The sequence below is a fragment of the Homo sapiens genome, chromosome 16, assembly GCF_000001405.40.
Source record: "Homo sapiens chromosome 16, GRCh38.p14 Primary Assembly".
Taxonomy (NCBI): Eukaryota; Metazoa; Chordata; class Mammalia; order Primates; family Hominidae; genus Homo; species Homo sapiens.
The window spans coordinates 47,456,406-47,480,069 of NC_000016.10; the positions used below are offsets into that span (position 1 = coordinate 47,456,406).

At 39.4% G+C, this 23,664-nt stretch overlaps 2 protein-coding genes across 5 annotated transcripts in view, besides 1 other annotated feature; one reads left to right on the forward strand and one right to left on the reverse strand.

The window, feature by feature from the left end:
* The window catches only part of ITFG1 (integrin alpha FG-GAP repeat containing 1), a 306,856-nt gene extending 302,015 nt beyond the window's left edge, over positions 1 to 4,841 (reverse strand). The window contains exons 1-2 of one of the 2 annotated variants that reach the window (NM_001305002.2): positions 4,710 to 4,841; positions 2,698 to 2,770 (exon numbers count right to left, since the gene is read on the reverse strand). Coding sequence is in view for 1 of the 2 variants with exons in the window: in NM_030790.5 (NP_110417.2) it covers positions 2,698 to 2,770; positions 4,433 to 4,640 (281 nt within the window). In the remaining variant the exon portion in view is untranslated. Of the gene's footprint in view, positions 1 to 2,697; positions 2,771 to 4,432; positions 4,659 to 4,709 lie in introns of those variants that run through there. The other variant, NM_030790.5, reaches the window with a different exon arrangement.
* Positions 4,567 to 5,036: a silencer, noted in NCBI's record as "silent region_7451". NCBI's record gives its function as "represses an Ori minimal core promoter by ATAC-STARR-seq in GM12878 lymphoblastoid cells {active_cell/tissue: GM12878}" and the evidence as "EXISTENCE:reporter gene assay evidence [ECO:0000049][PMID:35858748]".
* The window catches only part of PHKB (phosphorylase kinase regulatory subunit beta), a 240,225-nt gene continuing 221,454 nt past the window's right edge, over positions 4,894 to 23,664 (forward strand). The window contains exons 1-2 of one of the 3 annotated variants that reach the window (NM_001031835.3): positions 4,926 to 5,021; positions 7,477 to 7,588. In NM_001031835.3, the coding sequence (NP_001027005.1) occupies positions 7,534 to 7,588 (55 nt within the window). In that variant the 5' untranslated portion in view covers positions 4,926 to 5,021; positions 7,477 to 7,533. Of the gene's footprint in view, positions 5,022 to 7,476; positions 7,589 to 23,664 lie in introns of all 3 variants that reach the window. The other 2 variants (NM_001363837.1, NM_000293.3) reach the window with 2 other exon arrangements.

Sequence of the window (23,664 nt, forward strand, 5' to 3'; positions counted from 1 at the left end):
GATGCCGGGCGCGGTGGCTCATGCCTACAATCCTAGCACTTTGGGAGGCCAAGGCAGGTGGATTGCCTGAGCTCAGGAGTTTTGACACCAGCCCGGGCAACACGGTGAAACCCTGTCTCTACTAAAATACTACAAAATTCGCTGGGCGTGGCGTTGTGCACCTGTAGTCCCAGCTACTCAGGAGGCTGAGGCAGGAGAATTGCTAGAACCAGGGAGGTGGAGGTTCCAGTGAGCTGAGCTTGTGCCACTGCACTCCAGCCTGGGAAACAGAGTGAGACTCTGTCTCTAAAAAAAAAAAAAAAAAAAAGTGGGTAGAAAAACTTTTTGGATGTGACAGGACTTATCAGGCATCCTTTCTCAGGAATTTCTGGAAAGACACACCCCCGTGAAGTAAATGAGGAAATTTCTTTTTTTACATGGGGAAATTCCCCACATAGTAAGTCTACAAAAGGCCTGGAGAATGAATCCAGACTGGATAGGAATGTAGAGGATCCAATGGGAAAAACAAAAATGCAGGATAGGTATATGGCAGATATGATGGAATATCTGCAAAGAAATTAAGGGTATGTACATAGAAAACTATGCAATCTATTTTTTAAAAAGCAATCATTTATTCCAGTAGGGCAAGCTGCACAAAAAATGAAATACTGTCCCAGCACTTTGGGAGGCCGAGGCAGGTGGATCACCTGAGGTCGGGAGCTCGAGACCAGCCTGGCCAACATGGTGAAATCCCATCTCTACTAAAAATACAAAAAATTAGCTAGGCATGGTGGCAGGCACCTGTAATCCCAGCTACTTGGGAGACTGAGGTGGGAGAATAGCTTGAACCCGGGAGGCAAAGGTTGCAGTGAGCTGAGATGATGCCAAGGCACTCCAGCCTGGGCAACAGAGTGAGACTCTGTCTCAAGAAAAAAAAAAAAAGAAAAAGAAAAGAAATACTGTACATTACTTGGTTCTGAAGTACATAGACACCACATGGTTAAAAGGTAAACAATGATTACTAATTTAACAAAAAATTATGATTTAATTACACTGGGACAATGTAGATAAATTATGTTAGTTAAAAAACAAGAATTGAATATTTAAAAATGATAATTCAAGAAAATTAGTGTAAAATTTTATTTTAAAATATGGTAATAAACACTAGAAGAATCAGCTACAGGTTTTAAAAGTGGTTGCATCTGAGAGAGAAACAGGGGTGTGGGGGAGAATAAGGGTGAAGAATAGTTATTTTTACTTTGAAAAATATTTTAAATTATAACACAAACAAGAGTTTCTAAATTTTGAAAGTGCATTGCATTAATAAAAAAATTAATTGGGATATTTGTTTTAACTTATCAGAACACATGCCATTTACATCTTTTAAATTTCCTTAATTTCTAATAAAAAAAAAATCACCTCTATGCAGTTAGTTCACTTCTCATATACACTCAACTTCAGTTTCTTCCCCACTCCAAGCATGCTGACATTCACTACCCAAAAACACTTCTCAAGGGAAATAAGTTCCTGTTTATCCATTTATAACTTTCCCCTCAAAGTTCTAGTTCAAGGCCATTTTTCTTTTTAACATGAGTTTGAGTTTACTCAAAATACTGTAGAGTCTGAGAACTAATCAGCCCACACAGGGACTTTTTAAATACAGCTTCCTAAGTAGTCTTTAATCTTCTACAAACCAATTCATTCTGCATATAGTTTACAAGTAAATCAATTTAAAATACTGTTTTCATCATCTCTCCTTTGCACAAGGACCTGATGATTCCCCTCTTCTAATGGGACAGCATTCAAACTCTTTTTTGTATCTGAAGGCTCCCAGTCTGCCCTTCTTATCTCATGTTCTTAGTCCTTAACTCCCCGAAGTGTACCTTCCACTTTTGTCAGGCAGATCTTTCTACCTCCTCTTCATAACATGCTGTTCTTACTTTTATCTCTTATAAATGCTCTGTCCCCAAAATTGAACTTCCAAGTTGAACGTCTTCACCTAACTTTTTATTTATACTAAGGTCAAGCTCAAGTTCCATGACTCTGGAAGCTGCCCCTTTGGCCTGCACTGACCCATCTCTTCTTGCTTGAATTCAGACAGCCACGAATGCTTGCTTCAAATGAATGTAGTTTCAAAACTGTGTTGGGTCACTATCATGGAGGTAGAGGTGTGGGAGTGGTCATTGTTTCATGCAATGCCAACCACAGAAAAGAAAAATAACTATTACTTGAACATTTTAAAAATTCAGATAATTAAACTTGAATTCCTTCCAAGTCAACCTTAAAAACTCACCATCAGTCAATTAAACAAAAAAATTAGAACACTGACTTTTTCCCCACTGCAAAATAGGCCCCTCTTCCACAAAACACAACACATGGCTAATACAATGAGACTACTGTGAGTGACTGCTGCCTCAAGATGAGGCACAGAACGAGACACATTCAAGAAGGGATACGAGGGATACGAGATTGCAAGGAAATAAAGGGTGTTTATATAGAAACAAACCTGGATCCACTCAAATTTATTTCTTTAAAGTCATTTTTAAACTTTGGTATTTTCACTATTTTTCCAAAAAATCACTTGCTACTCATACCTCACAAACAGTGGTTTTGCATCCCAACACTAAGGCTGACTTTAAAGACAACCAATCAGCTACTGCATATCCATTATTATATTAATGACTAAAGTTTTATCAAAATAATCATATTTGTACTTACTTGAAAGATACCTTTACTTTGGGTTTAAAATAGGGTGCATTCTGGTCTGCCAAAAAGACGATTAAGTCATTTCCTAAAGAAAACAAATATATGATATTAGAAAAATGTTTGTTGATAAGATATCTAATCAGTGGTTACAAGAAGGTTTCTGGGCACTGTTCTCAACAAGAAAACTTTTATTCTACTCCAGTTCATCTGCCCTCTCAAGCATAGTCCCACTAGTCCAATGGAGATGCCTAACATTATATCACAAGTTCAATGTTCAAAGTAGCAGAGAAATAGAAAGGATGAACATGGGAAAAAGCAGCTGATCAAGAGAAACTGAAGCCAGTGGATTCTGCGAGGAGTCAGATTGGTTGACTTAAAAGAACCATATAAAGATGCCTTATAACTATACTACATGTCAAGACTTGTCTTCCCCGAATCTAGCAATGCTGTCCCTTGTAAGGCTGTTTGGTTCATTACACAGATGCATCACACCAAGGATGCAGGGACTCCCATTGTAGATATCTGACAAAGACATAATTAAGCATGTGAGCACAAAATGCTGAATCCTCCAAGACCCTCCTCCTATGGGGCCATCCTCCAGAGGGTGACACATTCTTGGAGCTCAATTAGCACTCATTGAGACAGACTTTTGGAATTGTTTAATCAAACACAGGCCATCTTTAAAGTCAAGGCTACTCTCTGTATCCAGTTTGGACACAGCAGCAACAGGTTTGGCAGTACACTGCAAAATGAGGAGTCAAAAAGATTGGGAAAATATTCAGGGTTTGTAAGAGGTTCCTGCATCCCCGCAAGGGCTCCAAGAAGTCTGGTTCAGGATCCTGTCAGGCAAGCTCTGAGTAGCTCTTCCTTCCTTCCTTCACAGCATTGATCTTTAAGCAGCACCTGCTTCTGTAGGTACTCAAGAACCCTAAGACCCCCTAATGCCCACTGTCAGCATCAAGATTTACAAAAAAGTTAGTTTAACGATTGTCAAAGCAAAGAATTTCCAAGAACAAGTTAGCAAAGAAAGTAGACATTTGGAACACTAAGGTGATGACCAAGATGAGGAAGGAGTACACGAAAGAACAGGCAGCTCAAGAGAGAAATTTCTGTAGTTTGAGACTGCTTTCCCAAGGAGGCATTGGGTTTATCAGTGGTCCCTGCAAAATGCTTGTGTGAGCTGTTTAGTGTTTAGGCCCTTGGAAGGGTACATTCGCTTCATAGAAAGTTGTGGCCTTGACAAAGAAAGGGGTGGGCGAATTAGGTAGGTGGGGAGGCAAGAAGAAGCCCCCTATGAGAAGAGATTGTCAGGTTGCACCTTTTCATGTTCATCAACGGGGAAGGAAGACTGAAGCAAAATAGAAAGGAATGAGTGGGCCTTGGGAGCGAACGTTGAGGCAAGCTACAAAGATTCCTAGGAATCAGGAAGCACTTTGGAAAACAGGTGATTCCATGGGGAGGAGGGGGTAAGGTGACTGGGTGAGGGCCGCAGACTTCTTAGGAACAAAACTGAGGTGCTGTCAGGGCTTTTGAGGGTAGGTCAAACTGTAGGGTAGCTGGGTCAGAACCTGGGGTTGGAAAGGGTGGTGCAAAAGGACAAGCTGTTAAGAATGCTAAAGGGAAGGCCACAGGGCTGGGAGAGAAGGACCAGGAAATGCAGAAGGACCGGCCATTGGGCAATGGGTTTGGGGAACACCGGGAGAGGCACACGGACAGCGAACAGAGGGAGGGCCCGGCAAGCACTGACTTTCCCGCAGCACGAAGAGATCCGTCTGCTTGTCGGAGTTGAGGTCCCCGAAAGCCGCAAGGGTGCCCCAGGCCTCGGCCCCAAAGAGCTCGGCCGTGACGTTGTGCAGCGCCCGCGCTGGGACCGGCCCGACTCCCAGTAGTGCAAGCCCTGCGAGGAGCGGCGAGAAGAGGGCCCAGGAGCTCGGGAGCCGGCCCGCCGCCGCCATGGCAGCCCCTCAGCCCCCGCCCGCCGGCCCAACGCCGCGCTTGACGACAGCCGCAAAGCACCGCGTTACCGGCCGAGAGAGTGGCGCGCAGCCCCGGGACGCGTAAGAGCCGCTGCCGGCTCCTTTTTCTCTCTCCCACTAGGGCTGCCCTTCCGACGCTAAAAAAGCAGTGGAGCTAGGGTGAAAGCCGCCCTCACGCTCACTTCCGGCAGGCGCGCCTCCCGACAGTGTCGTGCGGGGGGCGTGGCCCGGCATTGCTGACAGGCGGCCCCGGGGGCGGTGGCCAAGGCGGCGACCGGAGCGCGATGGCGGGGGCGGCGGGACTCACGGCAGAAGTGAGCTGGAAGGTCTTGGAGCGAAGAGCTCGGACCAAGCGCTCAGGTTTGGCTGGCTGGGGCGCCGCCCCCCACCCGAGTACCTTGGGTGGTGCTTCGCCTCAAGCGCCTTGGCGGGAGGCAGGTGGGGGCCCTGGGAATGAACCTGTGCCCCGAGTTCCTCCTTAGAAAGCAGGTGGCGGCCCTGGCCTTGTTTCTAATATCTTCCTCCACCTCTAAAAATTAGGTGGCAGAGCCAGCTCCACTCTGCGTGTGCCCCCGACTCTATTCCGCTTGTGAGCCCCACTCGGAAAGTAGGCAGCGGTCCGGACTTCCCTTAGAGTCTTCTAACTTAAAAATCGGGCGGCGGCACATTCCTGGGAAAGGGAATGTGTCTTCCCTGTGAATGTGTCTTTCCTGTGAATGTTCTCTGCAAAAGTCAGATAGCTTAATCAGACCAAGTCAGATGTAACTACGATCTGGCTGCAGAAAGCCGGCGTCTGGGCTCCTTGCTTTATGTCTTATATCCCTTTTACATTCCCCACAGGTTCTAAGCAGTAGACCTGTCATCTATCTAGCAGAAACTGAAGGAGACTGGGCCTCAGATATTGAAGAGTATAGTTAGGGCCCAGAAAGAAAAGGGCTTCTTAAGTGGCCCCAGGTTGTGTGGTTTCCAAACCCGAAAGCATAGAGGTCAGAAGGTGCCTTGCAGGCAGTTTTAACAGTTCCAAGTGTCCCGAACTGACTTGTTCAAATTGCAACGTCATGACTTGTGGCGTTATTAAAACTTCCTGTATTCCTGGTTGGCTGGATATAATCTTGAACAAAAGGCATGCACTTAAACAGGAAAGGTGAAAGGCGGAATGCAGGTTTTCAGCTAAGGAGCTTCCCTTTTAAAGAATTGATGAAGTGTCATTATTGGGGGTGGGTGTGAAAGGTGTTAGCTAGGAAAATTAACTTTGCACTTGCATTGATATTAAGAAATTATTTTCGGACGGGCGCGGTGGCTCACGCCTGTAATCCCAGCACTTTGGGAGGCCGAGGCGGGCGGATCACCTGAGGTCAGGAGTTCGAGACCAGCCTGGCCAACCTGGTAAAACCCCATCTCTACTAAAAATACAAAAATTACCTGGGCGTGGTGGCGGGCGCCTGTAACCCCAGCTACTCGGGAGTCTGAGGCAGAAGAATTGCTTGAACCTGGGAGGCGGAGGCTGCAGTGAGTGGAGGTCGCACCACTGCACTCCAGCGTGGGCGACAGAGTGAGACTCCGTCTCAAAAAAAAAAAAAATTATTTTCTCACCTAATATGTTCTCCTTACGTTTTGGGCTTTTCCTATTTATGAAGTTCTTAGTTGTCTGTTGTGCACACTGACTTTTTTTTTTTTTTTTTTGGAGAAAGTAAATCTAATTTCTGAAAATCTAATTTCAGAAATCATACACCGAACACTCTGTTTTTTTATACCTTACAAAAAGTTCAGCTTTATATACTTAGGGTTATAGTAAAATTACCATCTATGAAGTATGAGATAATTTTTTCAAAAAGTAGTCCTTAGTACTACTAAGAATCAATAAAGTGACTTGGAATAGTCACATGTATTTGTTTCACACTTTTTCTTAAATTGTTTTTGTGTGATATAGAAATACTGAGTTGGCTACTAACGATGTGGCTATCTGGATATAAAAAGTGTTATTGGATTGGTTATGTCTGAACAAAGAGAATAACTGGAGTTTTCTTACAGGGACCTGAGTACTGCCCCCAACATATATTTTTGCAACATTTCTCTTTAACTTTCATAAGCTCATAGAGTTGATTTTCTTCGTCAGTCTTTGTTTCCTCTGAAATGCATGTCATAACAGTAAGCTTTGAAAACCTTAATTCTCTTTTCTTAGCTGAGAAAAAAAATTCTAGTGTTAACTGTTGTTGAGTGCAGTTATTTAAATCCACTTTTATGTGCAAAGTGCATAGTATCAATGTTGAATGTTCCTGTATGTTTACATCATAGTAGTAAAGAGATACCACTTGAAGTTATTCCTCCAAATTAATAGTTAAATTTGAGGTTTCAGATTCTTGTAAGTATATGAAGTACAGAGGATAAAGTTAATAACTCGAGTTAATAACTTCCTGTATCATTAAAAGCAATCAACTTGATTCTGTTTGTTACTTTTAGAAGAATATATAAATGGAGCTTTGTTAAACACTTGACTAACCTGACTCCAGTATAGAGTCCTCCCCACAGAGTTCTGAGCATTGTTACATAGTAGCATAATTACTTCACTGCACAACAGAGGATACTACTTTTATGTAATGTCTAATAAGTGGATATTATATAGTTTCTATCTCATCCATATGAGCAAGTGTAATTTATCAAAGCAAAGAAAATCACATTTTCAAGTCATAAAAGAGAAAATAAAATTATAATGATCCTCAGTTACTGCCTTTGTTGCATACTGCATCATGTTAATAACTGCTCACACTGCTTTCAATTAATTTAACACTGATTGCTTCTAACCTTTACTAAACAGTTTTAAAATTGCTATAGCTTAGCCTGCGACGCTTATGATTAGAGCCAACAATTTGAAATGGCCTGCTCACCTGATGCAGTCGTCTCTCCGTCTTCCGCTTTCTTAAGGTCTGGTAAGTGTTGTAGACCCCAAAAGGGTCACTTGGTAATTTTAAATACCTTTGTTTCTGAAGGTTGATTTCACTATAAGATATCATTATGTCTTTATTTCTTCTTTGGTGGGCCCAGGCCTGAGTACCCGGCTGGTGTTTTGTTTAACTTTGCATTGTGTTTTGAATGTGGCCTATTGTGTTCTTCTCATGTGGGATGTGAAAAGAACAGAGAGTGGAGTGCCTGCCCCGATATTTGCAAGCAGAGGCAGTTCCTTAGTGTCTGGGAGCTCCCATTGTCAAATGTGCACATAGCATATTTCTTAAATGATTTTTGTCTTCTTGCCACAATGGAAGTAACTTCTACAAATTAGGAAATTTTGGTCAACATCCCACTTATCTGTTCTTCATCAGCTTACTGTGAAGCAGGTTATTAATATACACGTTTTCACAGACAGGAAGCGACTTGCCCCAGGGAATATTTTGAGGCCATGTGCTTTGGCCTTTATCCTGTGGCATCCTGGTGTAAGGGCTGGAACAGATGTTGGCACAATGGCTCTTAGACCGTTGTGTTGATGCACCCCTTTGAGAGCTGGATGAAAGCTATGGAATTGCTCTTCAGACGTGTGCACAGGATTTTGGAAACAATTTCTGGGTGATTCATGGACCCAGACATGATTACCTATGCATTCCCATTAGCAACCAGGCCTTTGGATGTATTCAGTGTCACTTTACAGAACAAGCCACACATTTAGTTAGGTGGCCACATAGCTGAAATGAAAACTGAAGCATTTACAGCCCTTTTCTGTAGTTGTGGCCTAACTTGGGCCATTTAAAACCTATTATGTACTAGAAAACTCGGAGAAGCCTGCTGGTAAGAGATTACCTTTTCTATAATGCCTCTTAAGCAGAATATTTCAAGCCTCAGGACTCATGAACAGGCAAATGTGAGATGAGCACCCCCAAACACAGTGAAAACTCCTTGGCTTCACCATAGCCTTTCAGAAGTGTTTCTCCCTCTTCATTCATTTTCGTTTATATTTCAAGTCCTGTTCTGGCAAGATAGAGGAGGAAAATCTTAAAGAAAATAAATAAGAAATAACTTAAGGAAGAATCAAACAGGAGAAAACAAAAACTCTTTAAGGAACTAAAATGATTTCTATTTCTAGGTGTCATCTGCTAAATGACAAAATATTACATGTAACAATGCCAATTGATTTCTGATTTTATCTTTGAACTAAAAGAACAGGAGGACATATATCTCTAGACTCTGTTTTCTTTCCTTATAAGCACCAAGCTCTGTTTTCCATCTTGGCTTTTCTACTAAGAAGGAAAGTGGTTTTAAGCACTAGCACAGTCATTCAGTAGTAATGGGGAAATAGAATGTTTAAAGATAGCTTTTATGCATCAACAGTCCTGAAAATTTCTAAACCCAAGAACTGTGCTTTAACATTACATAGAGTGTTTGAAGGTATATACAAGACGCTTTTCCTGTACTGTATCATCAAATTGAAATAGAATGCACCAAGAAACAGACTAGAAAAATATCAAACTTTAGTGTTATAATCCGTTTTGAAGAATGATTCTTTATACATTACTTTCAATGTTGACACTTTTTTGGGAGTTCATCTAACCAAAACTTAGTAAAACTATAAAGACACACTTAAAATTTGTATCTGTTAAAATAATAAGTACCATACCTGCTGGTGTTAGGCTTAACTTTGCATTGTGTTTTGAATGTGGCCTGTCGTGTTTGCATTTAAGTACTCTGAGTGGTTTGCATTTATAATTTCTTACTTATTTAGAAATACTCCATTTATATTGGAAATGATTTGCTTTCCCCTATTGTAGTTCTTTGGACATTATCTTTATAGGCATATGTTTTATTGTGCGATTTCATTTGACAATTATTTTAAAGCACATCCTTGCTTCACAGCTGAGCTTTTCATTGGTACTTTGGCCAGAAACTATCCAGTATTGCCAAAAGTGAAAGCCAGTAGTATCTTGATTTTGAAAAATTTATTTTCAATGTACCTGCATTGTTTTATGTATTTTAACCCTTCATATTCCTTCTGGATATGTTTCTGCTTTTTGTTTTTTCTTTGTTTCTCCTCTTTATGGAATTTAGTGTGAATCCTGTATTTCTGTGTGTGCATACTTGAGTTGTGCTGTTACTACTAATGTACTAGTATTTGCTGTGGTTGAAAGAAATTTGTTTTGACTGCTTAAACTAAAAGAGGGATCTAGATATTCAGGTTTTTCTTTAAAGACCCTTGGAGTCAAATGTACAAAACCAAGAATTTATAAAGAAATTCAACAGCCAAAATAAATAATTATTAGAGAAGGAATGTAGCATTCAATACCTTAGATTGCTTCCGTTTCTCATGTGGCCACTACAGTTATATTAAGTTAGCATAGTTGGTCAGCTGTAGCAATCACCTTGGCAATACAGTTCAGTTACTTGGAATAATGGTTATAGCATATTGTGATGAGGTAGGAAACGGCTTGGCATTTTTGCTTTTATTCTTAAATGACAAAGATAATTTAAGAGGTTATTCCTTTTTATAATGGCTCATGAGCTTATCTACCTTGGCTCCCTAAGTTTATCAGCCAGCTGGTAAGTGAGCTTCAACATAGGACTTGAGTCTTTTCATTTACTTGTTTCTCTTTATGTTCTTTGATTAACTTTCTTTTGTTAATTTAATTTGATGGGCAAATCAGTACCTGTTAAAATTTTATTGTATATTCTGGGCAAAACAAAACTTTCAATTGTATATGCCTGATATTGTTTTTTTTAAGGAATTTATATAGCAGTCTTGTTTTCAGTTAACTAATCTAACCGTCAACTAATCAAAAAGATTCTTGTGATTGGAAGAGAACACAGGCCCGAGTCTCCTGAACTCTTGTGGGTTGTGGCCTCCTTTAAGAGCCTAATGAAAGGGTGTACATTTGGTGTTCACGTACACCTGGGTCTGATTCAGGCTCTGTTGTTTACTACCTATTTGATCCTGAGGAAGCTATATCTTTTTGAGATTCAGCTTCTTGCTTTGTAAAAATGATGTTAATAAAACCTACCAGGAGAGATTATTGTGAAGATCAAACAAGATGTTATATGCAAAACACCTGATATTTAGTAACTGCGCAATAAATTTTAGTTATCTTTCCTAAAAATATGTGTCTTTTACAATATTGCTGATGTGTATTAAAGACTAATGACTTATATACAACAAATATGATTTCTTATCTCTCTCATTTTGGTATCTACCCTCAAAATAGCCATTTTAAGTAAATCTGTCATGCTTAAATACAACTAGCTTGAATCAGATTACTCAGAATTTAATATTAATAGAGCTGTACTATTTAATATGGTCCACTCCATTTTGTAAATTTAGCTTTTATTTTACTCTACGTCCATCTTATTTTTGTCAGTAATCACTGTAACTCTAAAGAAATTGTTTCTGATAGTTTCCATGGAAACTCCTATTAGATTGCAGGTAGAGCAGTTGTTATTTTACGTATACTTAAAAGATATTTTTGTCTCAGATATGCACTGTGCTCGCTTCATGTAGCATGGAATTCTCAGAAGCACTCCTTAATTGTATCCTACTTGGACCTCTGACCTCTTACTAGGACCTGCCCTGTAATCTTATAAGATTTAGGAAATAGAGGCCATATCATATGACTTAACCCCCTTGGCATGAAGCTTATTGACCCTCAGGCTGTGTCATTATGCTCAGCAAAAATGATGCTTCACATTTCATAAGTGAAGTGGTTTCATGAAGAGCACAACAGCTTGTCTCACTGCTTTAGATTATCACCAGTACTCACATTGTGCATTCTAAAAGCGATTTTCCTTGTGCTGTTTTATCTTCAGTCTTTTGTGAAATGAGAGAGTAAGAGGAACTCCCTAGAATTTCTGATTCTGATCCAGGTATCTATGCACATTTCCAAATGGGTATATGGTGGGCATTTCAAATGTAACCGGAACAAAACAGAACTCTTATTTTCTACTCTTATTCTTATCCCAATCATGTTCTTCCTTAAATATACTTCATTTCATTAAACTAAACCATTATTCTTCCAGCTACTCAAGCTAAAAAGGTTATTCCTCTCTTTCCTTCAACCTTTTTATTCAGTTAATCTGTAAATCTTTCTACTCCACCTCTAAAACACATACCAAATTTGTTTTTCTTCAGCTGTACTCCTACCTCCCTAGTCCAAGCCACTTTTATCTCTGGTCCACACTACAGAAATAGCCTGAATTCCTGTTTCCTCATTCTTATCTCACTACAGTCTGTTCTCTGTCAAGCAGTGAGATGGGTCTTTAAGAAATGCAAGTCAGCTCATGTCACTTTCCTGCTTAAGGCCCTCCTATTGTATCTGTCATTACTTAGCATAAAATCTACAATCCCAGGCTCACGCCTATAATCCCAGCACTGTGGGAGGCCAAGGTGGGTGGGTTACCTGAGGTCAGAAGTTCGAGATCAGCCTGGCCAACATGGTGAAACCCTGTCTCTACTAATAATACAAAAAATTAGCCAGGTATGGTGGCATGCGCCTGTAATCTCAGCTACTCGGGAAGCTGAGACAGAAGAATCGCTTGAACCCAGGAGGTGGAGGTTGCAGTGAGCTGAGATCGTGCCATTGCACTCCAGCCTGGGCAACAAGATCGAAACTGTGTCTCACAAAATAAAATAAATAAATAAATAAAAATAAATTCTACATTCCCTTCCTTTGAATGACAAAGTCCCAGGTGACATGGCTTTTGCCTGCCCCTCTGACCTCCTCACAGAATTCTCCTCTTCTTCTCCACTGCTATCTTTGGGTCCATAAGATGCAATCTAATTTGCACTTTAGGCTCTGTAGTATAGCTTTTTAGGCTCTCTCTAATAGCTATTTTATCTGCCTGGAAAGCTCTCTATACTGCTGTTTGGGTAGCTTGTTCCTTCTGGTTGAGTTTTAGGTTCTTATCTTAAATGTAGCCTCTTTAGAAAGGCTTTTTCTGCCCACCCAATCTAAGTAGCCCCCAGACACATCACTCTTAATTTTAATTCTCTGTAGTGTCCTTATTATTAGGTAATTTTTCCCCCTTCTTAGTTTTCCTGTTCATCTTCATCCACTAGAATATAAGCTATATAAAAGCAGAGACTTACTTGTTTTGTGCATAGCTGTATCCCTAAAGTCCAGAAGAGTGCCTGGAACATAAAAAATGTTCAGTAAATCATATAATATCTATCACACTGGAGACTGTCCTGCTTCTTTTGAGAGACAGTGTCATAATATGGTTATTATATAGATGTTAGACTCGTACAACTAGGTTCAAATACTAGTATTGAATCTTACAAACTGTGAACTCAATAGCAAAGACATGGAATCAACCTAGGTGCCCAAAAACAGTGGGTTGGATAAAGAAAATGTGGTACATATACACCAGGGAATAATTCACAGCTGTGGAAAGAATGAAATCATGTCCTTTGCAGCAACATGAATACAGCTGGAGGCCATTATCCTAAGTGAATTAACACAAGAACAGAAAACCAAATACTACTGCATGTTCTCCTAAGTGGGAGCTAAACATTGGGTACTCATGGACATAAACATGGCAACAGTAGAAACTGGGGATTGCTAGAGGGGAGAGTGAGGGAGAGGGGCAGGGCAGGGGTTGAAAAACTAACTGTTGGGTTCTTTATTCACTGCCTGAATGATGGGATCATTCACACCCCAAACCTCAGCATCACGTAATATACCCAGGTAACAAACTTGCACGTGTACCCCTAAACCTAAAACAAAATTTGAAATTATTAGAAATAAATAAACAAAATGTTTTTCCCCCTAAAACCAAACAAATTGTGTCTAATGTTTTGCACTTAATTTTCCATACTATGGAGTGGAGATAATAGTATATCCCTCATAAGTTCTTTTGTGAAGATGAAGTAATGTCTGGAAGTACCTAGTGGTGGTAGTAGTAGTACTAATGATAATAATGATTTTTCATGCTATGATGACAGCAGTGACAACTTTTTAAGCAGCTAATCTTTATTGAGTACTTAATGTGTTACAAGTAGTGCTTTACATTTAAATCTCACAGAAATCCTCTTGCCTAGACCAGTTTGGTTGGGGAGACCCTAACCCAGCGGCGCTAGAGGAATTAAAGACACACACACAGAAATACAGAGGTGTGAAGTGGGAAATCAGGGGTCTCACAGCCTTCAGAGCTGAGAGCCTCTAACAGAGATTTACCCACGTATTTATTCACAGCAAGCCAGTCATTAGCATTGTTTCTGTAGATATTAAATTAACTATAAGTATCCTTTATGGGAAACAAGGGATGGGCCGAATTAAAGGAATGGGTTGGGCAAGTTAACTGCAGCAGGAGCATGTCTTTAAGGCACAGATCCCTCATGCTATTGTTGTATGGCTTAAGAATGCCTTTAAGCGGTTTTAGGCCCTGGGCGGGCCAGGTGTTCCTTGCCCTCATTCCTTAAACCCACAACTTTCCAGAGTGGGCGTTATGGCCATCATGAACGTATCGCAGTGCTGCAGAGATTTTGTTTATGGCCAGTTTTGGGGCTGGTTTATGGCCAGATTTTGGGGGCCTGTTCCCAACATCCTCTTTTGTAGGTGTTATTACTATTCCCTTTTGAAAAACTCACAGCACAGGGAAGTAAAGTAACTTACTTAAAGTCACCCAAACTCTGGCAGACCCTATTACCCAGCCACTGCTGCCTTCCTTCTCTTCATCTATAGTGCCTAGTACTCCATAAATAAACAACAGTGGTTACTACTGATGTCTTCTTGATGTTTATTGTTCTTCTTTCATTCATTTCTAATTAACTGATGTTTATTGGACCTCTCTGATGTAGGAAGTTTGTAATAAATAATAGTGGTTGAGAGAGCTAATAGCCTGATGGAATTTATGCAGAACTCAAGGCGACCAGTGCTTTTGTATACATTCACTCTGTCTCTCTCCTGGATTCCTCCAGTTGTTTCCTACTGAACTTTGCTACTAGAGCCATAACCTCTCCTTGTACAATCACCCTAGTCAATGCACACTATTGTTGCCTGGGTGATTTTTCTAAAATGAACTAACCCTTAAGTGGTTACTTAACACCACTCATCAGCTCTCTGTCTCCTGCAGGGTTGAAGTAGGGACTTCAAGGAAAGCCTCTCTGGAAGTGATATTTAACTCCTAGAAATAGGAATCAGTGGAGAAGTTGGGGTAAGGAGGACTCTAGGCTGAGGATCCTGGGGCTAGATAGAGCTGGGTATTTAAAGCGTACTGAAAAGGCCATTATGGGTAAAGCATTGTGAATGACAGGAATGGGTGAGAGGAAGGCCTGGGATGGGCAGGGTCTTGGGAGCCTTGAAGATGTTTGAATTTTATTATAAATGGAAGGGAAGGTGAAAATTTGAAGCAGTGGAGTTGTAAGGCTGGATTAGTATTTTATGATGATTCTCTGTCTGTTATGTAAAAATAGACTGGAAGGTGACAAAAAGGCGGGGAGCAACCTCATGGCCGAAGCTGTGTGTCATATAGCTCTATGTTTAACACCTGGCACCATGCTGGGTGCATAGGGCCACTCAATCTATGTTTGATAGTGAATGGCTGTGAAGGCACAGATATTGAGTATATCATCATTCTGGATTCAGAAGATGTGGCCACCTTGATTATGCATTAGAATCTACATATCTCTGACTCAGTAAACTCACTTTTGGAAGAATATTCCTGTGGCCCATTTCCTGTTAAACGGAGAATAAACTAACTTTAGAAAGTGAGTTTATTGAATCAGAGGTATAAATGGTAGGTAGGTTCTAATGCATAATTAATTAAGGTGCATATATACAAATATAAAATGTATATGTGTCACGAGGTCAGGAGATCGAGACCACCCTGGCTAACGTGGTGAAACCCCCTCTCTACTAAAAATACAAAGAAATTAGCCGGGTATGGTGGCGGGCGCCTGTAGTCCCAGCTACTCGCAAGGCTGAGGCAGGAGAATGGCGTGAACCCGGGAGGCGGGTCTTGCATTGAGCTGAGATTGCACCACTGCACTCCAGCCTGGGTGACAGAGAGAGACTCCGTCTCAAAAAATAAAAAGTATATGTGCGAAATACATGTGTGTGTATATATAGTAAAATCTTAGATACAGTTAGTTTTATATCATGATGCTATTCTGTTTTCACATTTTAAAATGGCATATTGACCCTTCTATTCTGAGGAATAGTCTGCAAAGCTACACAAGGTCCTTGATTCTTTGCTTGATTCAGGCAGAAGGATGCATTTAGACATTTAATTTACCTCTGAACAGATAATGGACTTTTAGAAAATATATGCAATTAAGACATATCTTTTATGGTTTTGGGACACATCTATTTTCAAATCCCTGATTAGAAAACAACTGCCCATTGCGGTGGCTCATGCCTGTAATCCTAGCACTTCAAAAGGCCAAGGCAGGCGGGCTGCTTGAGCCCAATTTGAGACTAGCCTGTGCAACATGACGAAACCATCTCTACAAAAAATACAAAAATTAGGCTGGGTGCGGTGGCTCACGCCTGTAATCGCAGCACTTTGGGAGGCCGAGACGGGCGGATCACGAGATCAGGAGATCGAGACCATTCTGGCTAACACAGTGAAACCTCGTCTCTACTAAAAATACAAAAAAGTTAGCGAGGCGTGGTGGTGGGCACCTGTAATCCCAACTACTCGGGAGGCCGGGCAGGAGAATGGCGTGAACCCAGGAGGCGGAGCTTGCAGTGAGCCGAGATCGTGCCACTGCACTCCAGCCTGGGCGACAGGGCGAGACTCCATCTCAAAAAAAAAACAAAAATTAGCCAGGTGTTGTGGTGCCTGGGATGGCTGGTTGGAGGTTGTGGCAGGAGGGACAGCTTGAGCCCGAAAGGTTGAGGCTACAGTGAGGTCGCACCACTGCACTCCAGCCTGGGTGACAGAGTGAGACCCTGTCTCAAAAATAAATAAAAAGAAAACAAGTAATAGAAAATTGTAACTGCATATATTACATATTTAGTCTTGAAGATGCTTTCTGATGGTTCATTGTAGCTTCTAGGATCTGTGTTTTTTTTTTTGTTTGTTTGTTTGTTTGTTTTTGTTTTTGAGACAGGGTCTTGCTCTCTCACCCAGGCTGGAGTGGAGTACAGTGGCACTGTCACAGTTCACTGCAGCCTCGGTCTCCTGTGCTCAAGCATTCCCTTCTGCTGGGCCTATAGGTGTGCACTACCATGCCTGGCTAATTTTTTTTTTTTTTTTTTTTTTTTTTTTTTTTTTATTGTAGAGACAAGTCCTCACTATTTTGCCCAGGCTGGTCTGGAACTCCCAGTCTCAAGCACTCCTCCCAACTCTGCCTCCCAAAGTGCTGAGATTATAGGCGTGAGCCACTGCACCTGGCCTCTGTGATGTATTTTGAATACATTCATACTTGTTCTCATTTTCTTTTTCACATTAGGCCTTCGTTGCCTTGATTAGAAATGGTTTTTAAAAGATGAAACAATTGTTGCTGTTTTTTATTTTATTATTTGTTACCTTTTTCTTATAGACTTTATTAGTTTATTTTACCAACAATCACATGATTATTAGTCCATTAAAAAAGAATTATTCTTTATGTTTAACTTACTGGTTTTATAGCTTTCTTCTCTTTCAGTTCATATTTCACAAATTTTCTTGAGGATGTTGGTTTGTGTAGATGAACAGTTGTGGTACCTAAACATTAAGTGATTTCCAACAGCCTTAATGAGAATTTTTTTAAAGTTATTTTTAATTGACAAATAGTAATTGTATATATTTACAGGGTACAATATAATGTTTTGGTATATGCTTACAGTGTTGGATAATTAAATCAGGCTAATTAACAAATCTGGCCCCTCACATACTTACTATTTTTTCGTAATGAAAACATTTAAAGTCTACTCTTCTAGCAATTTTGAAATATATAACGTTTTATGATTATAGCCACCATTCTGTACAGTAGGTCACTGAAGCTTTTGCCTCCTATCTAACTGAAACTTTGTACCCTTTGGTCAACATTCGAGAATCTTGTGTAATAATTGAAATTTGTCATTTTTATAGGTTCTGATATATGTCATATATGCTCTTTTTTCAAAATATATATCATTGATTTTTCATTTGTCATATAAAATCTTTTAAAGTTCTGATATATGTCATATATGCTCTTTTTTCAAAATATATATCATTGATTTTTCATTTGTCATATAAAATCTTTTAAAGTTTATTGTTTTACTCCCTTTGTTATTAATAGCCTCACAGTGTTTACATGGCCCTCCTTTTTGGCAATTTAAGATTCAAGTCTTGTAGCTCAGGACTGAAATAGGCACCAGCCATAGAGATGAACACTTATGCTGTTATTTGGATTATAGATCAAGTCTTATTGCTAAAGCTGTGGATGGAGACTAGGAAGGACAGACACAGAGTCTGGGATTGGGCTGTTGAGCTGTGGATAGTTCCTCTTCGTACATATTTTAGCTACCTGGTATGTTTTGAAAATATACTCATCAGGTGCTTAACTTGTATTCTTTATTATATTTCTGTCTTCCTCCAATAGTTGAACCAGTAAATAATTTTCTGTATACTAAAAAAAAATGTGGTACATTTACTTTGTATATTAACTTTGGTTGCATTAACTTTGTCGGCTCACTTGTAAATATCTGATGATTGATAAGTTATAAATCAACAATATGTCAAAAAGAATTAGCTTGTTGTGACTTCAGTCAGTGGACTATTTTCTTGTTTTTTTTTTTTTGAGATGGAGTTTTGCTCTTGTTGCTCAGGCTAGAGTGCAATGATGCAATCTCAGCTCACTGCAACCTCCATCTCCCAGGTTCAAGCGATTCTCCTGCCTCAGCCTCCCAAGTAGCTGGGATTACAGGCATGCGCCACCATGCCCAGCCAATTTTGTATTTTTAATACAGGCAGGGTTTCACCATTTTGGCCAGGCTGGTCTCGAACTCCTGATTTCAGGTGATCCTCCCGCCTCAGCCTCCCAGAGTGCTGGTATTACAGGTGTGTGCCACTGCGCCTGGACTATTTCTTTCATGGGGTTTTCTGCTTACAGGACAGCTTATTGTTAACTTTTTATAATTCGCATCTAAACTTTTAATGGCTTCTGATTTAGGATGATTTCAGTCTCATCTTTTTTTCACTGCCTGCTAAATAAGTTTTGTCATGAATTTCCATCTTTGTAGCTAAATGGGAGTCATGCAAGTCTAACTTCAAAAATTAAGGACAAGAGACTAAACCTTTAAATTTACTGTGATCTTTGATTTTAAATGTTTTGATATAAGTGTTTGCTGATATATTTTGAAGATGGAAGTTGGGACATCTCAAGTTCTAGCATGCTTTTTCTTTCTTTTTCTATCTCGGGAACTTGACCACAGATCTCGATGTCCTAATAGAGGCAGCCTTATTATTTCCTCTGTCCTTAAGCAAAAACAATACATTTAATAAGTTTTGAGTAACGGAACATTCTATGGCTAAATGACTCCAAAGTGGGCATCACTCTTAGGCTTTGGCCAACTTGATGCTATAGATTTGATTAGGGGACTTCATCTGGAAATTTGTAGTGAGAAACCCAGATGGAACTCTAGAGAAAATACACTGTGCATCATAAGGCTTTGCTAAATGTAGGAAATAGAACCATGCCCCATTTGGTGACATTTCTCTTAGCAAATTCCCATGCTTCCAAATAACATTTAAAAATATGTCGTATTTTTAAAATAATTATTTAAAAAATAATCTTAATTAAGCAGCTTTATTTGGTATTACGGTAAGCATTGATAGAGAGTGTTAATCATTTCTATTGATGTTCTTCCTGCTTTGACAGTTTTCCTGTTCAAATTGAGCCCCTTTTAACTGTGGCTTATATAAACATGTTTATTTTATTTTTAGAGTCAGGATCTTCCTTGATCTCCCAGGCTGGAATGCAGTCGTGCAGTCATAGCTCATTGCAGCCTTGAACTTCTGGGCTCAAGTGATCTTCTTGCCTCAGCCTCATGAGTAACTGGGACTACAGGCATGTGCCACCATGCCCAGCTAATTTTTTTTTTCTTGTTTTAGGGACAGGATCTTGCTATGTTGCCCAAGCTGGTCTCAAGCTCCTGTCCTCAAGCAATCCTTTCTTCTCAGCCTCTCAAAGTGCTGGGATTATATGAGTGAGCCTTGATTTTTAAAGTGTAAGGCCTTAACTTTCATTTGTGTTAAGCAGATTTTATGTAGTCCACTGGTAGTTTTCATGATAAATATCTTTAATATAGAGGTTTTTAAAATAAAAGCGTGTTTTCTTAACTTACGTATTTCTAACAGAAATTATTTTAGTTTTGTGGAATCTTTTTATATAAATTTCTTTCTGTGCCCATTCAGAGATCCTCTTGTTTGGTTATCTTTTTTTCATGGAAATACACAGTAAGGCTCAATTAGTTTGTTATACCCACTTTATCCCAATTCTTAATAGGCTTGTAGCTTTGATAATAATCATTTGCTCAATGACCTCAAGGATAAAAAGATCTATCAGGATGTAAGGTTTTAGTTATTATAATTTGAAGAAATAAACTATTTGAGAGTTAGAATTTATCAGTGCACTCTTTCTTCTGCTGTATCTCATTTTCATTATATTGATACTTATACCTAAGACCTATACCAAATTTAAGTCCTTCTTAGTTTTTTAAATTCTACTATTTAAATATTTCTTGAATATTTCCTCCCTTATGCATTACTGGTGTCACTGTCTTAATTCAAGGCCCTAGAATGATTGTTTTGACCCAAACTAGACTTTTATGCCTAGGGCTTACTCCCTGTCTAGCAGTCATTTGCTCTGCCAACAGATATATCTTCTAGAGTTTGGATCATATGATGCCCCAGTGGCTCTTCAGTTTCTAAAGAATAAAATGCAAACCTGGAATCTGCTGTTCAGCATCCTCCCTGTTAGACTTCTGGATACCTATCCAGCCTCCTGTCTTCCTCACATTCTCTGCTGCAATGTTATTAATGTACCTGGCAGTTCCCAGGAGGGTCACTCTCTTTCTGGCTTCTGCACCTTTATCATGAAGTTCCCTCTGTATTAAATAGCCTTTCTCTGTAAGCTTGGTGCACTCCATAATCTTTTATTCTGCTCTAGTGATCTCTTGTTTTTACATATTTTCTGACAACTCCCTTCTCTGCATTTCAGGTTTCAATTAATTGCTCTACTGGTTCCCATGACATTTTATACAGGCTTCTTTTGGCTCTGATGTCACTGCATTGCTATTAGATAATTATATATCTTTTTTCTTTACTAGGCTATGAAATCCTTCAGGTCATGGACAAGATTTGTTGCAGCTTTGTATAGCCCCTGATACAAGGCTTGGTGCTGGGGACTCAATGTTGAATAATAATACAAGTTGAATGAATTAATTAATCATGTTCGAAGATTAGTACAGTTTTGGTTCAGAATGAACTTTCCAGCACTATGTGTTGTCTAATAATTTAAACTTTTTACTTGGTGAATAAAATTCAGTTTATTTATTTTCCTGCAGGTTTTGAATAAGAACATATTTTCATAGTAAAAAAAAGTCTTCTACTGGTCAAGTCCGAAAAGTTTCAAAATTCAGACTCATAAAATAAATGTAATAAATATAACAAAATACTGACCTAGGTTTATAATAGCTTTATGACGTGGTGAGGGCACTTTTGATTTTTCTATTAAACTGTGGACAGCATCTCCAAGGCCAAACTACATGGCTCTGACTGCTTTTACCCCTTGTATACAAACTTTGAGCTATCTCTGTGTACTGATTTTTTCTTTCCCTGAAGAGAAAATGGAAGAAATCACATAGATTATTCATCTACATTGTAATCCAAATGTAAGTCACCAGTAGCATGTTTATTCCTTCATGCATAGGGTGAGTCAGTGCTATTTAATAGGCCTTGTGTGTCATAGTGTGAACTTTACCTAAGATACCGAGGAATTTGAACTTAACCATTTAAATTTCAGGAATATGGTAAAGAAAGAGAAAATTATATACTTTTAAATAAAATAGAGAAAAGCTTCCTAAATCTTGCCATCTAGAGTAAGTTTCAGAATAAGAAGTGATATAACATCTATTTCTGGAAAAGTCTTGAACATAGTGCTAAATAATGCACTAGAGAAAAAAATCTATGTTTTTACCTTAGACCTCTTTAAAGCAGAGTCTAGCAATTATCATGTATTTAATTTACAAGATGAGAGTTATTTTTATTCTTGTGAACTGCAGTTGTCTTCAACTAATATGGTATTGAAATGGAAATAGAAAGAAGTGAAATCTAGGTAAAGGACAGATGCGTCAAGTAACATGACAGCTGAAATGGTTCATTTACATGGCTGACATGGACAGAGTGCAGCGACCAATACCAGAATTGCTTAGAAACCCCTTCATATTTTGGGGAAAATTGTCATTAAAGCAGTATTTCTGATTTAAATGTTACCTTGGAAGCAGGTTATATATTGCTGTGAAATTTTTTTTTTTTTTTTTTTTTGCTTTACCTGAAAAAAAGAAACAAAGCATATTTCAGTGTTTAAATCCTAGGTCTTCCACTTGCTACCAGTGTGACCTTGGTTAAGTTACTAAACCCCATTTAAAAAAAAATCTTTAGAATGATAATGATAGTACCATTATTATTAGGAGAGTTATTGTGAGGATTAAATGAAATCATATGTAAATAGCTCTCAACAGTACTTTGCGTGTGGTAAATGCTCTGATATTGTTAGTTCTTATTAGGATGCTGATAATCATACTATAATGATATTATTCTTAACCTTTTTGAGCTCTTTGGTTAAAATTAAATTTATGTGTTTATATTCATTCTGGCATGTTGCATATTGACAGCACCCACTAAGCATGGTGTTCTGGGCACACTGGTGAATTACAGTAGCATAAAGAAATGACCTTGTCCAGAATAAACAGACCAAAATAATGAATGTATTTTAAAAATATCAGATCCCTGAATAGAGTCTGGAGATCTTGTTTTTGGTGTTGGTTTTATGCTTAACAAGCTCTGCATCCTTGAGCAAGTTGTGAATTCCTTCCACGAAATAAGGGACTTAGACCAGATACTTGTTAATATTTTTTTCTGCTTCAAAATATTATGGCACTCAATCATTGACTGTCGGGGGAGTTAGGGGAAAGTACTTATACGGTTTTAGGGCCGAGGCTGGATGATTTCAAGGTAGATCTTACAAGGTGGAGAACTGATTGTGATTGTGAGAGTTGAGCTGATGAGATAATAGCTTTGGATTTGTCAGTACGGTGATGCAAAGATCTTAAAGCAAGCTTTGATGAACAAGATGTTAGTTTTGATATTTAAGCTGTTTTAGTTGGTTCATGATCTTACTTTCTAGGGATTGTAGAGCTAGATTTTCCTAAGACAACAAAGCTGCTGTCTAATTTTGATCTCTGGCATCTTCAACATCTCACACCCTCTCTTCTTCCCTCCCCTCTTCTCTCTCATTTTTTTTTTTTTCGCAAGATAGTAGTACTATCACTGTAGAGCCTTGGATCTAATTAAATTCAGATCCAGTTAAGCGGGTTTGGGATAGGGCCTGAGAAACTGCTATTCTAACAAGCTCCCAGGTGAGGCCCTTGCTGCCTGTGGATGGCCTGCACTTTGAAGAGCAGAAGTCTATCTACAGCATCATATTTGTTGAGCAGCAGTCCTTTGTGCCATCTTCATCTCTTCTTTGTCTTCTAATTCAGATTGCAGATCTTGGGCTCTGAATTAAGCATCCTCATATTCCAAACTTGAACTTAGTCTTTGAATAAATATGTCATTATCTGCATCCCTGATTCCCACTGGGCATAACCCCACAGTTCCTGGGTGTGATCCATGGCTGTTTTTGCAGCTTCCTTTCACTGGTATGGCACTCTGCTTCTGTCAGTTTGCTGGTGTACTCCAGGTTCTGACTTCTGGCCTGGATTTACCTGGCCCAGATCCTTTTACTCATCTGAACCCACTTCAGGGTTCCATGTTGAGGCCATTGCTGTACATTGCTATAAACGTTAAAATTTCCAACTGTTGCTCTTGGAAATGAGTATATATATATACATCTCCTGTCTCATCT